At 42.5% G+C, this 21,100-nt stretch overlaps 1 protein-coding gene and 1 long non-coding RNA gene across 15 annotated transcripts in view, besides 1 other annotated feature; one reads left to right on the top strand and one right to left on the bottom strand.

Annotated features, from left to right (window-relative positions):
* Window positions 1–21,100, top strand: part of ELMO1 (engulfment and cell motility 1) — a 596,421-nt gene that overhangs the window by 430,694 nt on the left and 144,627 nt on the right. For 12 of the 14 annotated variants that reach the window (NM_001206480.2, XM_011515654.3, NM_014800.11 and 9 more), the window contains one exon: window positions 5,198–5,334. In NM_001206480.2, coding sequence (NP_001193409.1) covers window positions 5,198–5,334 — 137 coding nt within the window. Of the gene's footprint in view, window positions 1–5,197; window positions 11,403–21,100 lie in introns of those variants that run through there. The other 2 variants (XM_047421091.1, XM_047421090.1) reach the window with 1 other exon arrangement.
* Window positions 4,709–5,908: an enhancer, noted in NCBI's record as "BRD4-independent group 4 enhancer chr7:37052330-37053529 (GRCh37/hg19 assembly coordinates)". NCBI's record gives its function as "activates an origin of replication core promoter dependent on BRD2, P300/CBP, MED14 and CDK7 cofactors, and independent of BRD4, by STARR-seq in HCT116 cells {active_cell/tissue: HCT116}" and the evidence as "EXISTENCE:reporter gene assay evidence [ECO:0000049][PMID:35650434]".
* Window positions 5,003–20,837, bottom strand: ELMO1-AS1 (ELMO1 antisense RNA 1). Its single transcript, NR_104120.1, has 3 exons — window positions 20,701–20,837; window positions 16,452–16,561; window positions 5,003–5,283 (listed from the first exon to the last, which is right to left on the bottom strand). It is a non-coding gene; the product is annotated as an ELMO1 antisense RNA 1 (long non-coding RNA).

Below are 21,100 nucleotides of genomic sequence, written 5' to 3'. Positions count from 1 at the left end.
TGGTGTCGTGCACCTGTAGTCCCAGCTATTTGGGAGGCTGAGGCAGGAGAATCGCTGGAACCCAGGAGGAAGAGGTTGCAGTGAGCCACGATTGCACCTTTGCACCCCAGCCTGGGCGACAAAACAAGACTTCATAAAAAAAAAATAGTAACTAATAGCTACCATTTACTAAGCCTATGCCATGTGCTTGATTAAAAATAGTAAGTAGGCCAGGCACAGTGTTTCACACCTGTAATCCCAGCACTTTGGGAGGGTGAGGCGGGCAGATCACCTGAGGTCAGGAGTTCAAGACCAGCCTGACCAGCATGGAGAAACCCTGTCTCTACTAAAAATACACAATTAGCCAGGTGTGGTGGCACAGGCCTATAATCCCAGCTACTTGGGAGGCTGAGGCAGGAGAATCTCTTGAACCCAGGAGGCGGAGGTTGTGGTGAGCTGAGATCACGCCATTGCTCTCCAGCCTGGGCAACAGGAGCAAAACTCTGTCTCAAAAAAAAAAAAAAATAGTAACTAATAGCCACTGTTTACTAATTCTATGCCATGTGCTAGGCACTTTACTGCACACTTTATATACATAATCTAACTTGATGCTTACGGACTTTATGTAGTTATATATTTCACAGATGAGGAAACAGGTTCAGGGGGGTTTATTTGTCTAAAGTTCTATGGCACGCTAGGGGGCATCACATTTAATTATTCGAATGCAAGTCTGTCTCACTCTCTATCCTGCCTCCTCATTCCTGTGTTTTCTCTGACCTCCAGTGATCTTGAGCACATGTTTTCTTATGCTATTGTCAATGTGCTTGCTTGGGTTTTTTTTAATATATTAGTAATTTCACATGGCTTAAACAAATTACATACCAACAAATTGTGTACAAAGAATTACATTCAAAAGAATTCCAATTCCATTTGCTGTGGTGTCTCCACAGTGTCATCAGGAGCTCCTACTAACTGTCTAGGGTATAGCCCTCATTTTTATGCTGACAAAATGGCTGCAGGAGCTCCAGTCATCAGTCCTGTGTTCCAGACATGAAGAAGTTGAAGTGGGGAGGCAGAGACAAAAGGCCACAAGTCAACCAAGTCTTTCCCCTTTTAAAGGTCTTTCCTGGGAACAGTGCCCAGCAGTTTTCACTTATCTATTATTTGGGATTGGGTCATATGACGACTCTTAATCACAAGGGAGGCGCAAATTGTACTTTTTTAGCTGGGCACATTGTTGTCATGAACAAAACTCAGGTTCTATTAACATGAAACCCAGCTGGTGAGCTTTTTGAAATAAATCAAATACACTCATTCAATGTGACCTTTCCCTAGTGCCTGAGTACCTGGGGAAACCTTGATACGTTAGAGAAGCTGAGAAAGATAAAATATCTTGAGGAAGAAAAAAGGGTTGGTTCAGCAGAAGCTAGGAACCAGGTAGATGATTTCTTGGCTGCTCAGCAAGGTTGAGAGTGCAGCTTTGCCCAGACCCAGGAAAGGAGGAGTAAGGTCCAGAAGGGGAGCGTAACCCTGGTATTCCAGTCTAACTCCATGTAAGCCACAAGTAGTAGGAGGAAAGCAGAGGAATCTTACACAGTAAATATACATCAGCATTAATAGGTGAAGCTGTGCCTCTTGTAAGGTTTTACTTCATAAATATTTTCTGTGGATAGAAAAACAATTGTTTCAGATTTGTGTTGGTGGAGGTGCATTGGAGGCAGGGTTAATTGAGAAACAGAATGAGGAAAGCAAGTGAAGCAGAATAATGATGCGCTTTGGAGCCAACTCGACCTTGAATTCTAGCACCACCACTTGCAAACCATGTGACCTTGGAGAAGTCACCGAGCCTTTCTCAATCTCCTATTTATAATCTTAAAAAGAAGTTAGTAATATCTTCCTTTTGTGCCTGACATAATAAGTGACTATGAAGTCCATCATTCAGTGCCCGGTGCGTGGCTGCTGGCGGTGCAGGCCTTGGTACTGCTATCTCATGGCCGAGTGTTCTCAGTCAGCAGGCACTGGCTACGCACTTGCTGTGATCCACATTGGACTGCAGGTCATGATCTGGGTTTATGTTGAAGGAGGAGTACGGGAGACCTAAGAGAATGGGTGGAGGAATTAATTTTCAAAGCAGCAACCACAGAGAAATGCAATGAGCTCTTGATGTCAACTAAAGGAGGAAGCCTGCTGCTGGGTCAGCTGACTGTGGGTTTCAGACGCTCATTTGGGGCCAACTAAAAAAAGCTCATGATGGAAGGTGTTATTTATCCAAGTTTTACCTTTCTCATATATAAAATGAGGATGTCCATAAGGCCTACCTTCCAGGGTTGTTACAAGAATAGTGCTTGTAGAGCTGTTGGCATGCCATATGTACCCAACGAATTATCTAGTTAATTATTAATGATGTCACTTCCCTCTTTACCCAAGCAAGAGTAGGACTTGCAAGTCTCAGCTTTTTCTGGCTTTCTTAGCTCCACTCATCACATAAAAACTTTAGGGCATAAAGTACACAAATAATCACACTAGATCCAAAAATGATACTGTGATAATGTGATTAATAACAAATTCTTAGATGGCAATAGTGTTTTAAGGTACAGCTGAAGATTTGTAAATTTCATTGGCTTTGGTGCTTATAAAAGGGAGACCAACCGCTCATTGCCCAGGGCAGCAAACCACACAGTCTGCCAGTGTTGATCTTCTGAGTTTCTTAAATAGCTTTGTATCGCAAGTCAAAACTTCACATTTGCCATCTCTCTGCTAGTAACACAGGCTGGGGTGGGATCACTTATATGTTTTTGCTTCTAACTGTTGAAATGTGAACAGGCTGGACTAGGAATTAGTGTGGAAAAATCACAGAAAAACTCACATTCCTGGAAACAGTAGGCAGGTGCAATATTTATTGTCATCACCACCACTTCCCTCCATATCGGTGTTAACTTGTATCCTGTCCAAAGCACTTTGCCCTCAGTTGGCTTATTTGATCTGCTTTGAAGCCAAGGGAGAAGGCAGAGGGGACTTCATTTCCTATTTTTTCTTTTTTTCTGTTTTTTGGGAGACGGAGTTTCGCTCTTGTCGCCCAGGCTGGAGTGCGGTGGTGTGATCTCGGTTCACTGCAACCTCCAGCTCCTGGATTCAAGCGATTCTCCTGTCTCAGCCTCCAGAGTAGCTGGGACTACAGCGGCATGCCACCATGCCCAGCTAATTTTTGTGTTTTTAGTAGAGACAGGATTTCAGCATGTTGGCCAGGCTGGTCTTTCAAACTTCTGACCTCAGATGATCCACCCGCCTCGGCCTCCCAAAGTGCTGGGATTACAAGTGTGAGCCACTGTGCCCAGCCCTCCATTTTTTTAGTTAAGAAAATTGAAGCTCAGAAAGGTAAAATGACTTGCTCTGGATTGGCCTGGGCTGCACTTGAACCCAAATCTTCTGTCCCCCCACCCCACCCCCGGACTCTTCCTACAGGACTGTGCATTGCTCCAGGCCCATGCCCTTACTTTATCTGGAGGAAAACAGCATTACCATATCTTCAAATCGGGTTGTGCCCTTTAGAAATGGTGAGCTGTGCAAATAAACACCACTTTGCTGTTGTTTTAAACTGTTAAGAAGTCTGAAATTCACTGTATTCATGAAGGTTGAGGAGAGAAGAGGTTGGTGTGTAATAGCTTGGTAGCCGTGTATCCTTGAGTGTGTTTCCATGAGGCTTGATCAGGGTTTGTTCACTGGGGGCCTGCTCTATAGGATTCTAAGTAGATTCGCTGCTCATCCACATGGCAGGCACCAGGGCTCTCCCCGAGAACAGAAGCTCTCTGCTATAAGCCTGCTCCCACCCCTCCCTCCATCCTGTCCTGGACTTCCAGGGCCTGAAACCCTTCCATTCTGAGCCTTGAGGATGAATTGACCTTAAAAGAGATTCCAACAGCAAATGAAACACCTTGTGTTCTCACTCAGAAGTGGGAGTTAAACAATGAGAACACAGGGACACAGGGAGGGGAACAACACACACCGGGGCCAGTTGGGGAGTGGGGGGACTGGGGGATAGAGAGCATTAGGACAAATAGCTAATGCATGTGGGGCTTAAAACGTAGGTGATGGGTTGATGTGCTGCTGTTTAAAAGCCTGAAAGTCATCCAGCTCTCATGCAAACCACCATGTTACATATATACCTATGTAACAAACCTGCACGTTCTGCACTTGTATCCCAGAAATTAAAGTGATATTTTTTTTAAAAAAAGAGATTCCAAATAAAATAGAAAGACTTTCACTGTATGTAACAGCATATATATTTATTTTTTAAAAACCTTAGGGTATTGGTTCTGGGGGTCACAAACCTTAGTTCCTTGGGCTCCACAGTATCCTCATCCATAAGATACGAGTGGTAAGAGGAACTGTAAAGATCAAATGAGGTATAACTTACAAAAGGGCTATAAAAATGTAAGCTTGACAGATGGGATGATGGGAGGGGCTGAGGAGGAGGAGGAGGAGGAGGAGAGTAGGGACCAGACCTAAAGTTCCGAGCACTAGGTGTGACCCAAGGAAGCTCTACAATGGGGGCTTGAAGGCAGTTTTGGCTGATTTTATGATTTTGCCCAGGACTGGACCAGTTGCCGCCTTCAAAGCTATTCAGGTTGCTTTGACTTCCAGCCATCTGTGCCTGGAAATGTAAAACAAATGGTTAATGGCATCAGATGGTTAATGATCTCAAATGTTCCCTGCTTACTGCCATGAGAGAGAAAAGAGCCTCCTGGAGAAATAATCATGGATGCTGTTTCCAAAGTTGCAATTAATCGTGTATTCAGGAAAACCCATCTTCTGCCAGTTATTCTGATAAGAAAGAGGAAATTGAGGGTGACGGAGGAGCTGTGCCTGAGAGGGCAGTTTGAATAATCTGTATAAGGTCAAGAAGGCAGATATAGGGCTCATAATCAACACAGCAGTTTTGGAACAAAGCCAAGAGGGTCTTGTCCTGGCATGGGTTAGGGACTGACTTTTATGAGTCCAAAAATATGTGTCTAAGGCTAGGTCTGACTATCTGGCCTTAAACTTCCGAGTTGTATGGGGGCCATCCTTTGGTTGCTTTTTTCAAAAATACTTTTTCACCATTATTGCCTGAACCAAAGATACCTCCGCTTGTCTCCCTTTGGGGCACATACCTGTGGTTATGTTCTCGTGTTTCACTGTTTTAAAACTTTTTCTCTTATTTTCCATCTCTTTCCTCCAGCTAGTGAGACCTGCAACGACTTCCACCCGATGTTCTTCACCCACGACAGATCCTTTGAGGAGTTTTTCTGCATCTGTATCCAGCTCCTGAACAAGACATGGAAGGAAATGAGGGCAACTTCTGAAGACTTCAACAAGGTAATGTGGATCTCGGATAGAGGCAGGGGATTCCCGCAGCGCTAAAGGGGCCTGCTGCATGGTCCCTTGGCTGTGTGCAGAAGGCAATTGGCAAGGTGGGGAAATGAGGAAGATTGCAATGATAGTTGCTTCAAGAATGGAGAAAGACAAACATCCCTGTGTAGACATGAATCTGTGTGCTGGGGATGACCTCATCCCTCTGGGGGTACGCTTGGAGCAGCTTTGTTCCTTTGTCTAAGTTGGAGCCACCAGCAGAGAGTTTTTCTTGGGACACGTTATCAAGGCGAATGTTTTCTTTCATAGCATTAGTTTGGGATGCCTTGTCAATATTGCAAGATCTGTCGGGGAAGGGGCCTTCCCTCCACCTGTCCAGGAGATTGGTACAGAGCAAATGAGATCAGGAATACTGCTCCACCTAGTCCGGTGGTTTCTTTGTGGATTATGGATGTGTTGTGATCATCTGCCCCGAGCTACGTCAAGAAGAATTTTTATTAAAATGAAAGATCCCTTTCCAAGAACTGAGTCATTAAGGTTATATGCAACATTTCTTGGTTTACAGTAAGCATTTGATCCTTTGAACTGAGATGTCCTTTAGTTTTCTATATCATAATGTCTCACAAGAGTGTGACTTTCACATTTCCATTTGTGTGTGAATAACCAGCAGAGGGAAGAGCATTGGCCAACTTAGAGCAGAAGCACTATCCATGCTTTCATAGAGAAGCAAAATCTTTGTCCTTAGATAAAGGCCTGATTAGCAATAATAACTATTGCAGCCTTTAGTACTTTTAATTTGCTGCTATATACAGCTGTGACTGTGGTCAGGCCCATCACCCATGACCACTCTCACCCAGCACTAAGGGCTGTGACTGTAAGAGTCGAAGGGTCTGGCCCTCAGTCATACTGTGGGGCTTTCATGGGCGTGCTTGGTGCATAACATAATCTCTGAATTTCACCTGCACTTAATATACTTGTTGGTCATTGCCTCCCTGTCACCTTCTCCCTGGATATACATCTCATCCTTGTTTCCCACTATATTTCTCATTTGTGGCATCTTGAACCAACACCAATTGAAAAGAAAGAAAATCAGGAAAAGGACCTAAGCTTCAGTCAGGTCCTAACCTGAGTTTCTTCCTCAGCACAGTGATCTCACTTGCCATATCATCTCTGTCATCCCAACGATCTGTCCTTTGCATCTTGGTCATCGATTGAATTCCTTGAAATAGACCCCAGTAATGCCCTTCTGTGGAGAGCACTGGTCTGGAAGCTGCAATCCAGAGCTGTCATGTGTCTGAGCAGCTATGCCGGAGGACAGGCTTGATTCAAGAAGGGAAGTGGAGAAAAGAAGCCCATTAATTTCCTTAGGATTATAACTGCAGCCTCCTAAGTGTACTTCGCTTGATTGTGAGAGACTTTGCATTTCAGGTGCAAATCATCCCTGGGAAAGAGGGAAGGAGGAGCAGGGAGGCCTTTGTTCAATCAAACCAAAAAAGAGAATTAAATCAGTAGTCTTTGAAATTGGCTAAGGGACTAAGGCCACTTTGCCCTGGATCATTTCAGCTCTTTCATGTGCTGCTGTGTGAAAGCCATCCAGTCCTCAGCTTTGCGAGCTGGGGACACCTGTTCCTCCAGGAGAAGGAGACCTCACCAGTTGTTACGGATTTGGGCATCAGATGTCTGCTTTCTGAGAGATCTCATTTATCCTGCTTTTCCTAAATTATAAATTCTGCATTTTGCAGAATAATATCTGCAAATAATAATGTTTCAGATATTATTGTTGTTGATCTAGGCACAGATAAGCTGTGTAGAAAATATTATGAAAGTTCTGCAGAGGACTGACTCTGGGGATGAGCATTCAGACACTTAAATCCTATAGAAGTTACATTTTGTAACATGAAGCACCAAGAGTTCCTTGTTAGCAAAGGAAGCCGGAGGCCCCAGGATGGAGGAGGTGGGCACAGCTGGTGGAGGGAGGTGACCATAGCTCTAGGGTCCCTGTGGCTTATCATGGCCATGTGCTCAGATTGGTGGCAGACATCCTGCCTGTTCAGGGCCCTGCCAGGTGACAGCAAGCCCCCCAGAGTGTCACTGTGAAACTTTTATCATAATTAGCCTATATGGCTGTGAAATCTCTTCAGCAAGACCTAAGAGCCAGGTTTTGGGTGCAGTTTCTTACCGTAGCTCTAATGCCATTTTTTGCATTGTTTACAGATCATAGACTAATGCTGGGGGTCACACCTCTATTGCCAAGTAGGGATGACAGTTTATGGCTCAGGACAGGCAGCTCCAGGCCTGAGGGCCAGAGGTTCCTGCCTCACATCCAAATAGCCATCAGGCAAGAGCAGATATCAGAGGAAAATCCAGGATGGGAAGGACAAGGAATTTTAATTTTCTACATTAAATACTTTCATCGTGTTTGCTTTTTTTCTCTTTTTTTCAGTACTATGCATGCCTTACTTATGTAACCAGAAAAATATATCAGGTATTTACATTTTTGTCATGCGTATATAACTTTTCTGTTGCTGATACAACAAATTACCACAAATTTAGTAGCTTAGACAATGCAAATTTATCTTACAGTTCATAGTTCAGAAGCCAGCAATGGATTTCACTAGGACAAAATCAAGGCGGCAGCAGAGCTGTGTTTCTTTCCAGAGGCTCTAGGAGAGAATTTGTTTCCTTGCCTTTTTCACTTTCTGGTGGTCACCTGCATTCCTTGGCTTATGTCCTTCTTGTCCATCTTCAAAGCCAGCAAAGACAGCTTGAGTCCTTCTCAGATGCCATCCCATCACCCTGATCCCTCTTCTGCCTTGGTCTTCCACCTTTAAGGACCTTGTGATTACATTGGGTGACCTGGATAATCCAGCATCATCTTCCCATCTTAAAGTTGGCTGATAATAACCTTAATTCTGTCTGCAACCCCAATTCCCCTGTGCTGCAGAAGGTAACGTATTCTCAGGTTCTGAGGATTGGAATGCAGGCACCAATGGGAAGCTGTTATTCTGCCTATTTCCAGTGTGTATTTGATTTGCAGCTATATTAGGTTTTTAGATGTGTAGATCAGTTTAAATTAATGAAACACGGACAGAGGAGCCTTTTGTTTGCTTTTCTTTTTGCTGGTAGACATGATACCTGTCACAGAGTTCTGCTAGTGACAGCTCAGATGCAGATATAATTATGTCCCTTTTCTTTTATGGCCCTGTTCCGCCTCCACTAGCCTTTTTAAAAAGGAAGCCTCTTTGTGACAGCTTCTGGTTCATTTTGAAGACTGCCTTTCTGATTTTTTTCTGCTGCCCATCTATCAGCCACTGTTCTGCTTTACTTGATAATAAGTTGGAGAAGAGAGAAGAGCTGAAAGTTAAATCAGTTCACTTTTCTTCTTGTTATTAACTTGGTAGCAGAGGAGATTGAATTTAGGAACAAATGTGAGTTGTGAGTTACTGATAGATTTAATGTTTTTTTCTTATTCTCTGACTGTCCAAATTCAAATTCAGAAATGTCTTTAAAAAAGCCCAACATGAAACATAATTTCTTTTCAACTTTCTTGGACACTATCTCAGGTTCTTGCCACTGTAAACAGAGCATGGAAGGTGGGTTTATTTGTCAACCCTGAGACCCAGGGCTCTGTGAGCAGGGCTTAGCTATCTGTCTTCTTTAGCTCCTCACTGGAGAAGGAGTGCCCCTCAATTTAAAATTTTGATTTGCCCAACAAACTATGCTGGATTCTATCAGAGGCAGGAATAGCTTCTGCAGCCCGCCTTCCTTGGGACACCAGTTTATAGATATCTAGTGCTTGGTAGTTAATGCCACTGCTGGAAGAGGGTGTTTGGAAAAGCAGCTGTCGTCTGCTCTTCCGGGCTTGGGAAGCAGCAGATGGAATGTTTTTTATTTATATAAGAGAAGTAGAATTGAAGAGTGATTAAAATATTTATGCTTTGAAAAGTACTTTCTTTCAGTTTCTCAATATAGCACTCTGCAGAATAATCCATTGATTCAGGCCATTGAGTGTGTGTTCTATCATTACCAATATTTTAGAGCATGCATTATTCATTTTTATGGGCATTAGAGAAGAGCTAAACTGCAGCTGGATACCTCAGCACACAAGTAGCCCCATAATCATTTCATTGAAATCCTCATTTTTGAGCGGGATAAGAAAGGGGACACAAGTAACTTGGATATTTTAGGTATGGGAATCTCATTTAAAGCATGTGTGGCTAACTACTCCACTGTAAAAAAAAAATGTAATGAGAGTATACACTTTAGAGTATATGTCTGTGTGTAGCAGTGTTTCTCAGCTTTAGCTGTACGTCAGAATCACCTGGGGGCTTTTGAAAACCCTGTTATCCCACCGGCCAACCGCACCACAGATTAATTAAATCATCGGGGGTGGCGGGGGAAGCTATGAATGAGTATTTTCATTAAGGTAGATTTGATCATTAAAGGTGATTTATGTTAATAGAATCGCCATCATTAACACATGTGATACTTATCACAAGCTACTGTAAATTTCGTGCATTGATGGAGTAGGATGCTTGTTGACCTGTGTGACCCAGGTTTTCATCCTGGATCTGCTATTCCAGAGCTCTATGTCTGAGAATCTAAAAATAATAATAGTTTTTAAAAGGATACATCACCCTGTCTTTTGGTGGGGTGATAATAAATTGAAGTAATTACTGTAAAAATGCTCTGAGGAAGTAAAAATGGTATATGTAGTTGTGGAGTGTTCTTTTGTACTGAATAAGATAAAGCCTGTCTATGAAAAATGAGTAAATTGCCCTTTTCACAAACAGACATTTTTTGGCTATGTTAAAAAAAAAAAGTGAAGCTATGAATTTCACAGTAAATTCTGAACTGAATTAGTAACCCATGTAACTTTGACAAAAATAGGCTTTAAGCTGAAATTTTCATGGATTTTGGAAGTGTCTTCCTCCAAACAACTTTATTAGGTACCTTAGTTTCCCGTGTGAAACACACGGTAGCAACCTAAAAAACAGCAGGTCCCATGATTTTCACATATTTAATGGCTGGTGAGAATTAAGTCCTCCCCAACAATTACTAGTTGCCCAGATCTCTTCGCTGATGATTGACGCTTTTATAAACCATCAAAATATTTGTTCCTAGCATTGGCGTTACTTTAGACGCTATCAAAATTGACATTATAAGCCAAGATCAGATGATTGTGCCATACTTTCAGATTACCAAAATGGAAGAAACTAATTTGAAAAATGAAGTCACTCTAGAGTAAAAGCACTATCTTGAAACTTTATCTAGCAGCATAATAAACTAAGCGCACACAATAGAGCTTAGAATCTCAGGCTTGCAAATGAAAAACCATCCCTTAAAATAGCAGAGACTGTGCACAGGGAGAACCCAGGCCCATTAAACAAAGCTGCAGCTGCCCCTGGCCAGGCTGTGAGCTTCAACCGAGTCAATGGGAGAAAATCTCAATTAGGAAGAACGGGAGAGCAGGACAGAAGGAAACATCCTGAGAAATCTCCTATGAAGATTATTCATAGGAAATAACCACCAGCTAGTCACATCTAGTGGATTATAGTGTGGGATAGAAAAGGGATTGTGTTTAAAACCTTAAAGGCAGCTAACACATGAATAAAAAAGGGAAATGTGTTTGCTTCTCAAACTGTTTGCAGCTTACTGACTTTCTGTGCATGCTTTTCAGGGGACAATTATATATTCAGGAGTCTCCTTACTAGGGCAGTTCAACTTCATAGTGGTGCAGACGGCGCTCTGTTGGTTAGCTGAGCTGGCCTAGGGAATGAAAGGTGGTCTGTAAGTCTCATCATGAATAAACATGAGTCTCCTCATTTGCGTGAGGCAGGTGACTGTAAAATATCTTGGAGCAAGCTGTGAAAGGAAGCTTTGTGCATCCATGCCCAGGGGAAGCTGGGAGGACTCAGCGTTGTTTATCTTCATTAGAATTCCATCTAGTGCTGCTGTTATTGATCTGAACTGGGCCTGGTGTGGCTAATAAAGTAGGTGTATGTTTTAATTGAAACATGAATATTTGAGTAGAGGAGAAGTCTTTTAAAGAGCCCTAATGTCCTACACTGAGCTTTTCCATTTTTCAACTGTCTAGGCGATTAACAAGCATTTTTTTTCAAAAGGCTTCTGATGTTTCACAAAGGTCTTAGGTTTGCCACACAGGCAGTGGAACCTCCTCTAGAAGCAAATGCATTATATGAATAGATTTAATTATTATTTCTTTGATATTCCCTGTTGAATAGGTAGCAAAGAGTTTCATATGTGTGTCTGTGTTTAAGCTGTTCATGTAAGATAGTGTTACCTATTTCCATGGAGTTTGCCGCTTTCTGTTGGACAGCAATCAAGATATGTCCTCTCCAATCCTTACCAGTGTCAATTATACTATCCAGAGACAGCAGAAAGACCGGGAAAGTGACTTTGGTAACTTATCTTTTTCAATAAGTGTATGTTCAAATAGACCCCAATGTCATACATAAACAGATATGTGTTAATAACAGGTAACATAACCCTGGCCAAGTCAGGGAAGCACTGTGGTACAGAGCAATATTTCTCCTTCTCTTTTGCATTATCACCCCGCTAGAGAGTTTTATAGGTATTTTTCCCCAATCACCCTCCCCCTGAAATTGTAATTACAGATATATTGTATATGTCTTTGTGTATGTATACCTGTGCCTGCTGTGTAAAAAGAGTAATATTTACTCCTCCAAGAACCATTTTTGTGCCCTCCCTAAGGATGATGTCCCCACTCCCTCATCAAGAATGCATGGTGCAAAGGCAAGAACCAAGGCTGAATTAGCAGGAGGATCTGGTGGCAGTCCCAGTTGGCCCCTCACAGCAGTGTGACCTTGAGCTTGTTCTTTAACCACCAAGTCCTTTCTCACCTGTAAACCGGTAGTGGCAATAGTAATAAATAATACTTCCCAGAGTCACTGTGGGGATTAAGCTCTCATTAGGTTTGCTTTGCAAATTGTCCTATACAAATAGGAGGTCCTAATCTCAACAGGCAAAACCTAAAGTGTCAGTAATTTGCACTTTATCATGCAGTGTAATTGAGCTGCCTTGATTTCCCCAGATAGTTTGTTCAAATATCCATAAATACAGATTGTTTTATACCTCTGTATGGGGGTGCGTTGAACTTTAGTTTGGCCACAGAGGGGATTTTGACCACTGTGGTCACTCCTCCCCAGCCCACCCACAAACAGATGTACTGCAGGTGAGGCAGGGGGCTGGGGACAGTACATAAAAATGCCAAGGGCCTCCCTTCCAGCTGGGTAACCTTGTGCAAGGGACTTGGTTCTGCTGGCTTCAGATTCCTCATCTGTGAGATGGGAATAGGTAATTACCCACAGCTAGGATGGCTGTGCGCCCTGATGACATCAGGCAGATAAACTGGCAGGCTCAGCACTGGCCTGGAGCCAACACCAGTCCACAGTAATGGAGAGCAGGGAGAAGACCAGGTGACACGGGATTCCAAATGCCTCTGAAAAGGAAAAGGATGCTCATGGCAACACTGAGAGCAAACATCTTCAGGAAAGGTGGACAAGCTGCTCCCTCAAGTTTAGTGATTAACTTAGTAGTGACTCTTTTTTTTTTTTTTTTTTTTTTTTTTGAGACAGAGTCTCGCTCTTGTCACCCAGGCTGGAGTGCCATGGCACAGTCTCGGCTCACTGCAACCTCTGCATCCTGAATTCAAGTGATTCTCCTGCCTCAGCCTCCCAAATAGCTGAGATTACAGGCGCCCGCCACGAGGCCTGGTTAATTTTTGTAATTTTAGTACAGATGGGGTTTCACCATGTTGGCCAGGCTGGTCTTGAACTCCTGACCTCAGGTGATTCACCTGCCTTGGCCTCCCGAAGTGCTGGGATTACAGTTGTGAGCCACCATGCCCAGCCAGTAGTGGCTTAACTTCTAAGTGTGCTGCCGTGGTGGTCTCAGCTGCATGGGGTCCATGGCAGCTTTTATGAAGAACATAGAGAAGACCTTAGAGGGTGACCAATTTTCAGGGACTGTCCTGGGGTTGTGCACTGTACCCTGCATCTCCCAACCCTCTACCCGCTGAATTTACAGCCCTGGCAGCATCTCTTTATAAGGAAGGAGCATGCGAGGAATCTGAGTCATCCAGAAAGAGTTGGATTTTGTTGACCCTGTTCATGTAATTTTCTTTTTTTCTTTTTTTTTTTTTTTTTTTTTTTTTGAGACAGAGCCTTGCTCTGTTGCCAGGCTGGAGTGCGGTGGCGTGATCTCGGCTCACCGCAACCTCCAACTCGCTGGTTCAAGCGATTCTCCTGCCTTGGTCTCCTGAGTAGCTGGGATTACAGGCACGCACCACCATGCCCAGCTAATTTTTGTATTTTTAGTAGAGACGAGGTTTCACCTTGTTGGCCAGAATGGTCTCGCTATCCTGACCTCATGATCCACCCGTCTCAGCCTCCCAAAGTGCTGGGATTATAGGCATGAGCCACCGCGCCCGGCCCATGTAATTTTCATAAAAATGGTTAAACTATTTAAAAACCTGTTTAAAGGTTGACTGCTATCTTTAGCTGAAGGCATTTTTAATATGTTTTGCTTTCTGGACATTTTCTATAACAGGAGCATTTATAAAAATGGTCTTGACCAAGAGTGAATCTTACCATTTTGAATAAGCCTGACAGTAGTAAATATACTTCTTGGGTATTCCTTTGTGTTCAAGATTTTGCATGAGGTGCTTCTCATTTCTGAAGTCTTTCTAGAGCCAGTGTCTATGTTTCTTTGCATGTGTAGCACGTGCTAACTTGAGATTTGCCAATTAGGAGGAGAAAATAATTGATTTGTTCTTCTGCTGGACAGCAGTGAGATATATCAGTCCCTTGGTTCAATTTCTGACCATCCCTGAGCATGAGAATAATGATGACTTTAGGTTAACTGCTTTCCATAACTCTGTTCAGTAACTTCTGAAACTTCTTTCATTTTATTAACTATACATTGGGGCTGTGTAGAAACCAGTTGTTAACTGGTTTCTATGACCTGAATTCCAGATTCCGTTGTGGATTATATGAAAGGTTTGATAATGTCACAGAAACCATTTTATTAGTATATGTCCCATTAAAAGGAAATTACCTACATTTTAAGTAAGGCATGATGAGATTTAGGCATTTTAAATTAAAGGGCAGATAGGAACCAGAGTTGGATAGCTAAGAAGGGTACCATTAGGTGGGAATCTCTCATGAAATACAAGGCCTCATTGATTTAAAAAAAATATTTATCTTGTAATTGCAAAGTAAATGATGTTACATGGGAGGTTAAGAACACATTTCCAAAAAGAGATGAGTCTCCTAAGGCAGAACAGAAGAGCACATAGGTGCTGTCATATAGGTGCCCCCTATTGCCAACTGAGGGTACCAGATGTTGTGATGAATGGAGGGTTGAGGGCAACAAGGGGCCCTAGACAAGATAAACCAAGCAGTCAGAGTGAGAGAGTGGGATCAGAAGCTATTTGCAAAGACGCCAAAACAAGAGCTAGAAGAAGTTAGGAGATCCTAAGTGAGATTTCCAAATGTTTTCTGCGGAATACCAGATCCAGGTGCTTGGTAGTTAAAATATATATTTAATGACTAAATCATAAAACATGCATATTCAACTTCATATGCATATTCAACCTCTAATTTACATTGGTTGTATGTCTGCAAATTTTTCAGAACTGTGCTCTTTTATCTGAGCAACAGTGACTTATGGGTCAAGATTATCTGCCTTCATTTTTCCAAGTAGGAGCTGAACACTGATCTTCCTTGTTCAACCCACACACTGACCCTCCTGCTCTGTCACCAGCATAGAGCCAAGTCATTAAGTCAGACAGGTCCGAAGCAAGGACAGAGGTTGAGAGGCCAGAAGAAGATATCAAAGTAAGGCTACATTTGGCAGTGGTTCCCTCCTTCTTTTCTCTTTTCTTTTCTTTTCTTTCTTGTATTTGAGACGTTGTCTCATTATGTTGCCCATGCTCATCTCAAACTCCTGGCCTCACACAATCCTCCCACCCCAGCCTCCCGAGTACCCGGGATTAAAGGTGTGAGCTACCACTCCCAGCATTCCAGCCCCTTTTTGGCAATTATTACAGGGAGAAAAATGAACATTAGAACTTGAATTTGAGAGATGATAATTCCAAACCGAATTTCTTCTTCTGCCCGCCTCCTTCTTCCCTTTATTTTCTGGTTTCTATGTGTTTTCTTCCTATTCTAGTAAAGTTAAAATAATAGATGATCAGGCCAACTGTGTAGGAGGAAGTCATTTAGGCAGGTAATCAGCTCAGATATCAATCGGACCACCACCTTCCTCAGGAAAGTGCTCAAGCCTGCAGCTATCACTTTTGGCAACAACTCACTCAGATGCCCCTGAGTTGTCCCTCTTGCTTTGTCCCTAGGAATACCTATACCCTAGAACTTATGTCAGTGAACTGCAATTGCCTATCTGGCTTCCTAAGAGCAGAGCCTTGCTCTTTCTGTATTCTAAGTATCTAGCACCATGCCTAGGATCTAGAAGGTACTCAAAGTTACTATCTCACCACCATCATACATACAGCACAGCCACATCAGCATTCCACATCTTGGTTAATAGGGTCAATATCCAACTTACTCTTCAAATGCTATTCATTCTTTCAACAGATATTTATTTGTGTCTACAACACAGTGCTTGTGGTAGACACTGGGAGTACAGAGGTGAGCAAGACAGGATGGTTCCTGCTGTCATAGAGCTGGCAGTCTAGTAAGTTTCTACTTAGAAATTTATGGGCTAGTCCCTCTTTGTGAAACTGATTAGTGGCCAAAGTCGGTACAATCACCACATGGTCCTTTACCTTTTCATCATTGCCTCAGTTTCTGTCTTCCTCTTCTCTCACCCCAATGTGATAGATTGAATGGCTGGTCACAGTTCTGCACTGCTTCGTGGTAGTAGCATACTTCCAAATCCTTGCCATGACCTCATGATGGGTGAAGTGAATTTCCTTCACCCTTTGACTTTTGTCTTGGCCAAGTGAACTTGCTTGGGCCAGTTGAGATGTGCATGGATGTGAAACGAGCAGAAGCTTGACTGTTGCTCAAGTGATTGAGCTGGGCTTTTGCACTTTTACCATCATCATGAGAACTACATACCTTGGTAGCCACTGCTCCTTCAGTGTAGGTCCCAAAATGAGATATATGGAGCGCAGTTTTTCCAGTCAGCCCACAGAGCTTGAAAGAGCCACCTCAGCTGACCTGTAGATCTGTGAATGTGAGAATAACTTCTTACCTGTTGGAGTTGTTTGTTACACAGCATTAACATGACAATAGCTGACTAAGACAGCAACTGTTACACCAACTTATCTCCCAGCTTGGAAACCTTTCCATTTTCCGAATCTCCTCCAACACAGATCTGACCATATCATTCTTGCTTTTAAAACTTCTGTGGCTGTTCATTGCCTGACTCATTAAATTTTGTGGCCTCAGCAAGATGTTCAGATTTATCTTTAATTCACCTAAAGTAATTTTTCTGCTTTATCTCCATATCTTCACCCTGCACCTACCCTAGGCTCTACCTGAACTGCTCTTGTACGTGCAATTGCATTTTCATGTCTCATTCCCTCTACCAGAAACGTCTTCCCCCATTTACCTGTTGAAATTTCACTTATCCTTTAGGATTTTGCACAAGTGCCACCTTAGCAAGATAGTTACCATCTCCCTTTTATTTATTCAGAATGAAATTTTGTATGTCTACTCCCACAGCATGGAATTCAAAATTTTTTGGAAAATATCTTCTAGTTCTATAGCAGTTGTTTATTTTTAAGTCTGTCTTCCCAAATAAATCATATATTTCAATATATCATTGGAAGCAAGAGCTAGATTTTATGTCTTAATATCCTCCAGGTGCTTTTAAGTAGTATCTGCTCAAATACTTTGTGTTGAGTGTTGAATTAATTAATGGCCAGAAATGTTTAATTCAATGATCATTAAAAATGGTCCACCTGACCAGTAAGCTGAATTCATATACACCGTCTTAATATGGGGTGGCCACCGTTGTTCAATTCCTGAAGGCCATGGGTATTTTGAAATTCCACACAATAAAGAATTTTCTTGCCCCAAATGCCAACAGGCCTTATTGAGAAACACTTCTAGACCCCTCCATCAGAATCTCTTCAGATGCTAATACTCTGAGGAAGTTATGAAATGATTTTGCCATCTGTTTCTTAATAAAAATGGCAGTTGTCATTATTTTTCTGCCTATGTAGCTTTATATAAGGTGAATAGAAAGCTTCAAAGACATTGAACTTTTGCAAAAGAAACTGAATTGTTCTTTTTCCAAGAAGATTGGTTGGAACTCCTTGTTAAAAAACGTGTGTGTGTGTGTGTGTGTGTGTGTATACACATATACATATATATATGTATATATCCCTCTGTTTCATTTTCACCTTCACTCATTTATTATATTGCCCTTAAGCCTGCTTAACCCACATACCCTGGCCATTCCAGGAGCACTGTTTTTCCCACTAGCCTTGTTTCCAGGCCAGTGGGAAAAATAACATCAGTAATGGCGCTTGTTCTTTCCCAGGATGGCTGCCGAGAGACCTTCCAGTGCAAAGGACAAATGTGACTGTCAACCTTCCATCCCATGTAGGGGACTGGTACTTAGCCAAGCATGCCTAGGAAATACGTGCTTGTGCAGCAGGAATGTTGAATCACATGTGTGAACACATCATGCCGTTCACAAAAATTATCTTTTGTATTTTACCTTTACCTCCCGAAGTTATCTTAAATTGGGGGGAAAAAATGCATCCCCCTTAGAATGTCATAAGAGTGGGAAGACCCAGTTCTTGCCACAGTGAGAGTTTTAAGTGCTGGAGGCAATCAGCTCCCCAGAACTCTTCTGGTCCTATTTTCCTTCTTTCTCTTTCACATATTTGTTTGCGTGGCTTGGCTGGATCCGAGGTGTATGGCATATGGCTTTTTGCCGCTTGAGCTGCCACAGAAGTAAATGTCATTGGCATATAATGCCAGATTTCCATTTTGTGAATCACAGAGCACGGGATTCTGTCCGAAAGCTCCCTGGCCACTATGTGTTCTTAAAGCAGAAGTAGAAAAGGAAAAGACCCACGCATCACACAGAGATGCTTTTCCTATTAAAATGTATTTATTGCCACAACAAGTATATATAAAATGGACATACTTTTGCCCCAACGTGTGTTTGAAAAAGGTTCTTGGCTTGTTTTATTGTGGTTTTGGCACTGGGCAAGCCTGGACATTTGCTTCCAAGCCTCAGCTGAGCAGATGCTGGTCGGTCAGGGAATCAGATGAATAAAAATTTGCTTGTGCATGTACCAGAAAAAAAAGGCTGTGAGTAAAAGATAATCAATGTTTTTTGGATGCAGTTTACCAGAATTTTTTATTCATTAAATTTTCAAGTTATAAAAGCTTTTAGGCTGATAATGGAGACCTGAAGCTGCCACAGATGCAGCCTCAGCCTTTGCTCCCCTGCATGGCTGAGAAATCAAGAGAGAGATTTGCAGATTCAAACACACACACACACACAAAGATGACATGGAGCCATATGCAACTGCCAGTATTGGACTGTTTTTGTCTGACAAATACAGCAATTTCAAATGGCTCAACCAAAAATTATTGTACATTCGTGGAATCAGTTGTATTTACCCATAAGCATTTACTGTTGGTTTCTGACACAGTCTTCTTCTATTATTCACAGTACCTATTTCTCTTTCTTTATTCTGTGATCATTTAACTCACCATAATAAGTTGTAGTAAAGTCTAAGTCAGGAGCATTGGCCCTGGACCCAAGGAGTGGGATTCACACCCTAGCTCCTTCGTTTCCTTGCTGGGTGAGCTTGAGCAGGTTAATTGCCCTGCCCTGTATCCCGGTCTCTTCGTCTAGAGACTGATCGTCATGGAGTTGTTTTGAGGATGAAATGAACCAAGATTAGGTGGAACCACATGAAATGGCCAATATTGGACCACGTCTGAATGGCAAAATTTGTAGTTCTGTTCTGCTCATCTTAATCAATGAAAAGCATTTGGGGCCATTCCCATGAGGGAAATGACACGAAGATCACACAGCACACATGGCGCTCCAGATGAGGCATGGAGAGGCATGGATTCTAGTCCAGCTCTGCCTGTGACCTCCTGCGTGACCCGGGGCTTTTCTCCTATCCTGCACTCACCACCCTCCCTCCTAGACAATGCTGTGGCCCCGGGGATGGCCTCCTTCTGTGCTTTGAATTTCATCCCCTCTCACCTGCTCTGGGGCTCTGTCCGTTATCATTTCTAATCTTTGCATCATTAGTCTCTTCCTCTCACATGCTGTCTTCTCACCAGAATATAAACACACACAAATCTCCCACATTCTTAATAATAAATAAATGATTTTCTCAACCCCCTATTCACCTGTGCCCCTGCAGCTCGGTTTCTGAAGTCATTGCCTCAGTTTCCCAGCTCGCCTTTTCATGTATTAATCCACTGCAGCCTGCCTTCTGCCCACACCGAGAATATAACTGAGCAAAAGAAGAGAAATAGGACTCTAAAAAGCACTAAAATATAGTGTCAGTCCTTGAAAACCTCTTTAGCCACAAAAGTCACTGATTTTGACAAAGAATGGCCTCCGGTGGACAGTTTTAAATCTCAATCTTGTTTGCCACCTTTGTAGCCCTTGACCCTGTGAACCACTCTCTCCTTAAAAATTTTTTTTACTGTGACTTTGGAAATGAACATACATGCAAGATAGATATAGATATACAGATATAGATACAGACATATATATATTTATATATGTATACAATGCACCTAAGATATATGTACAAATGGCACATTGAATATACGTGGAAGAAATAAAATAACTATTATTGTTCCAGTTACTAGCAACATTTTTAGAAAAAAAATTAAAGGATAACTAAAAATATAACTGAGCTCAAGAGAAGAAATACGACTCCAAAGTGCATTAATATATATTTTGAATACTTGAAAACCTCTGTAGCCACAAAAGACATGATTTCTAAGAGGCAAGTGGGAATTGAGAGGAGTCGTTGAGTTGTTCTAAATTTAAGACTGGAAAGAAGTCACATTGTTCTGAATCCCTGCTCTGATGAAGAAGAGAGACATCAAAAAATTTATAAAAATACATCTTTTATCCCTTACACCTTCATGCTATTCGCATCCTCCCCCACCCCCATCTCTTCTCTTCAGCCTAAAAATATACCAAAATCATTCCTTTCCTTAAACAATATTTTCCAACCCTGTTCCTCTTTCAAGTTCTTATCCAATCTCTGTCCGTCTCTGCACTGCCAAATTTTCCGGGAGAGAATGACATCTCCACTTTCCCACCTCCTCACCTCGACGTGGTCTGATGTTCACCCACACCCACCTGCTGCAATTGCTTCATTTAGCTCAAGGTCATCTTCTGATTGTTCTTGTTCATCCTGTTCCCTGGCTCTGAGGCATTGACTTGTGTTGCCTCCTGTGCTTCCTGGGATCCTCTCCATTCCTCATTCCCATGGCACTGACCCCTTTAGCACAGGCATTCCCTGAGGCCCTCCTCTTTTCCTCTCCTACCACTGCCTCCTCCCCACCTTCAACCAGCACCTGAGGCAGACAGAATTCCACCCTCATCGTCTTCTGAGCTCCACCCCTGTGGATGGTCTGCAGACTCCTCAAACTCGGGATGTCCAAAGCTAAACTCTCCATTCTCATGGCTCCGTTCCTGCTGCTGCTTCTGTGGGCTCTAACTCCAGGAGTGACACCACAATCACCCCATATCTTGGACT

This window comes from Homo sapiens, chromosome 7 (assembly GCF_000001405.40).
Source record: "Homo sapiens chromosome 7, GRCh38.p14 Primary Assembly".
Lineage (NCBI taxonomy): Eukaryota > Metazoa > Chordata > Mammalia > Primates > Hominidae > Homo > Homo sapiens.
Note: the sequence above shows the minus strand (reverse complement) of the source record. Positions and strands in the feature narration are given on the sequence as shown.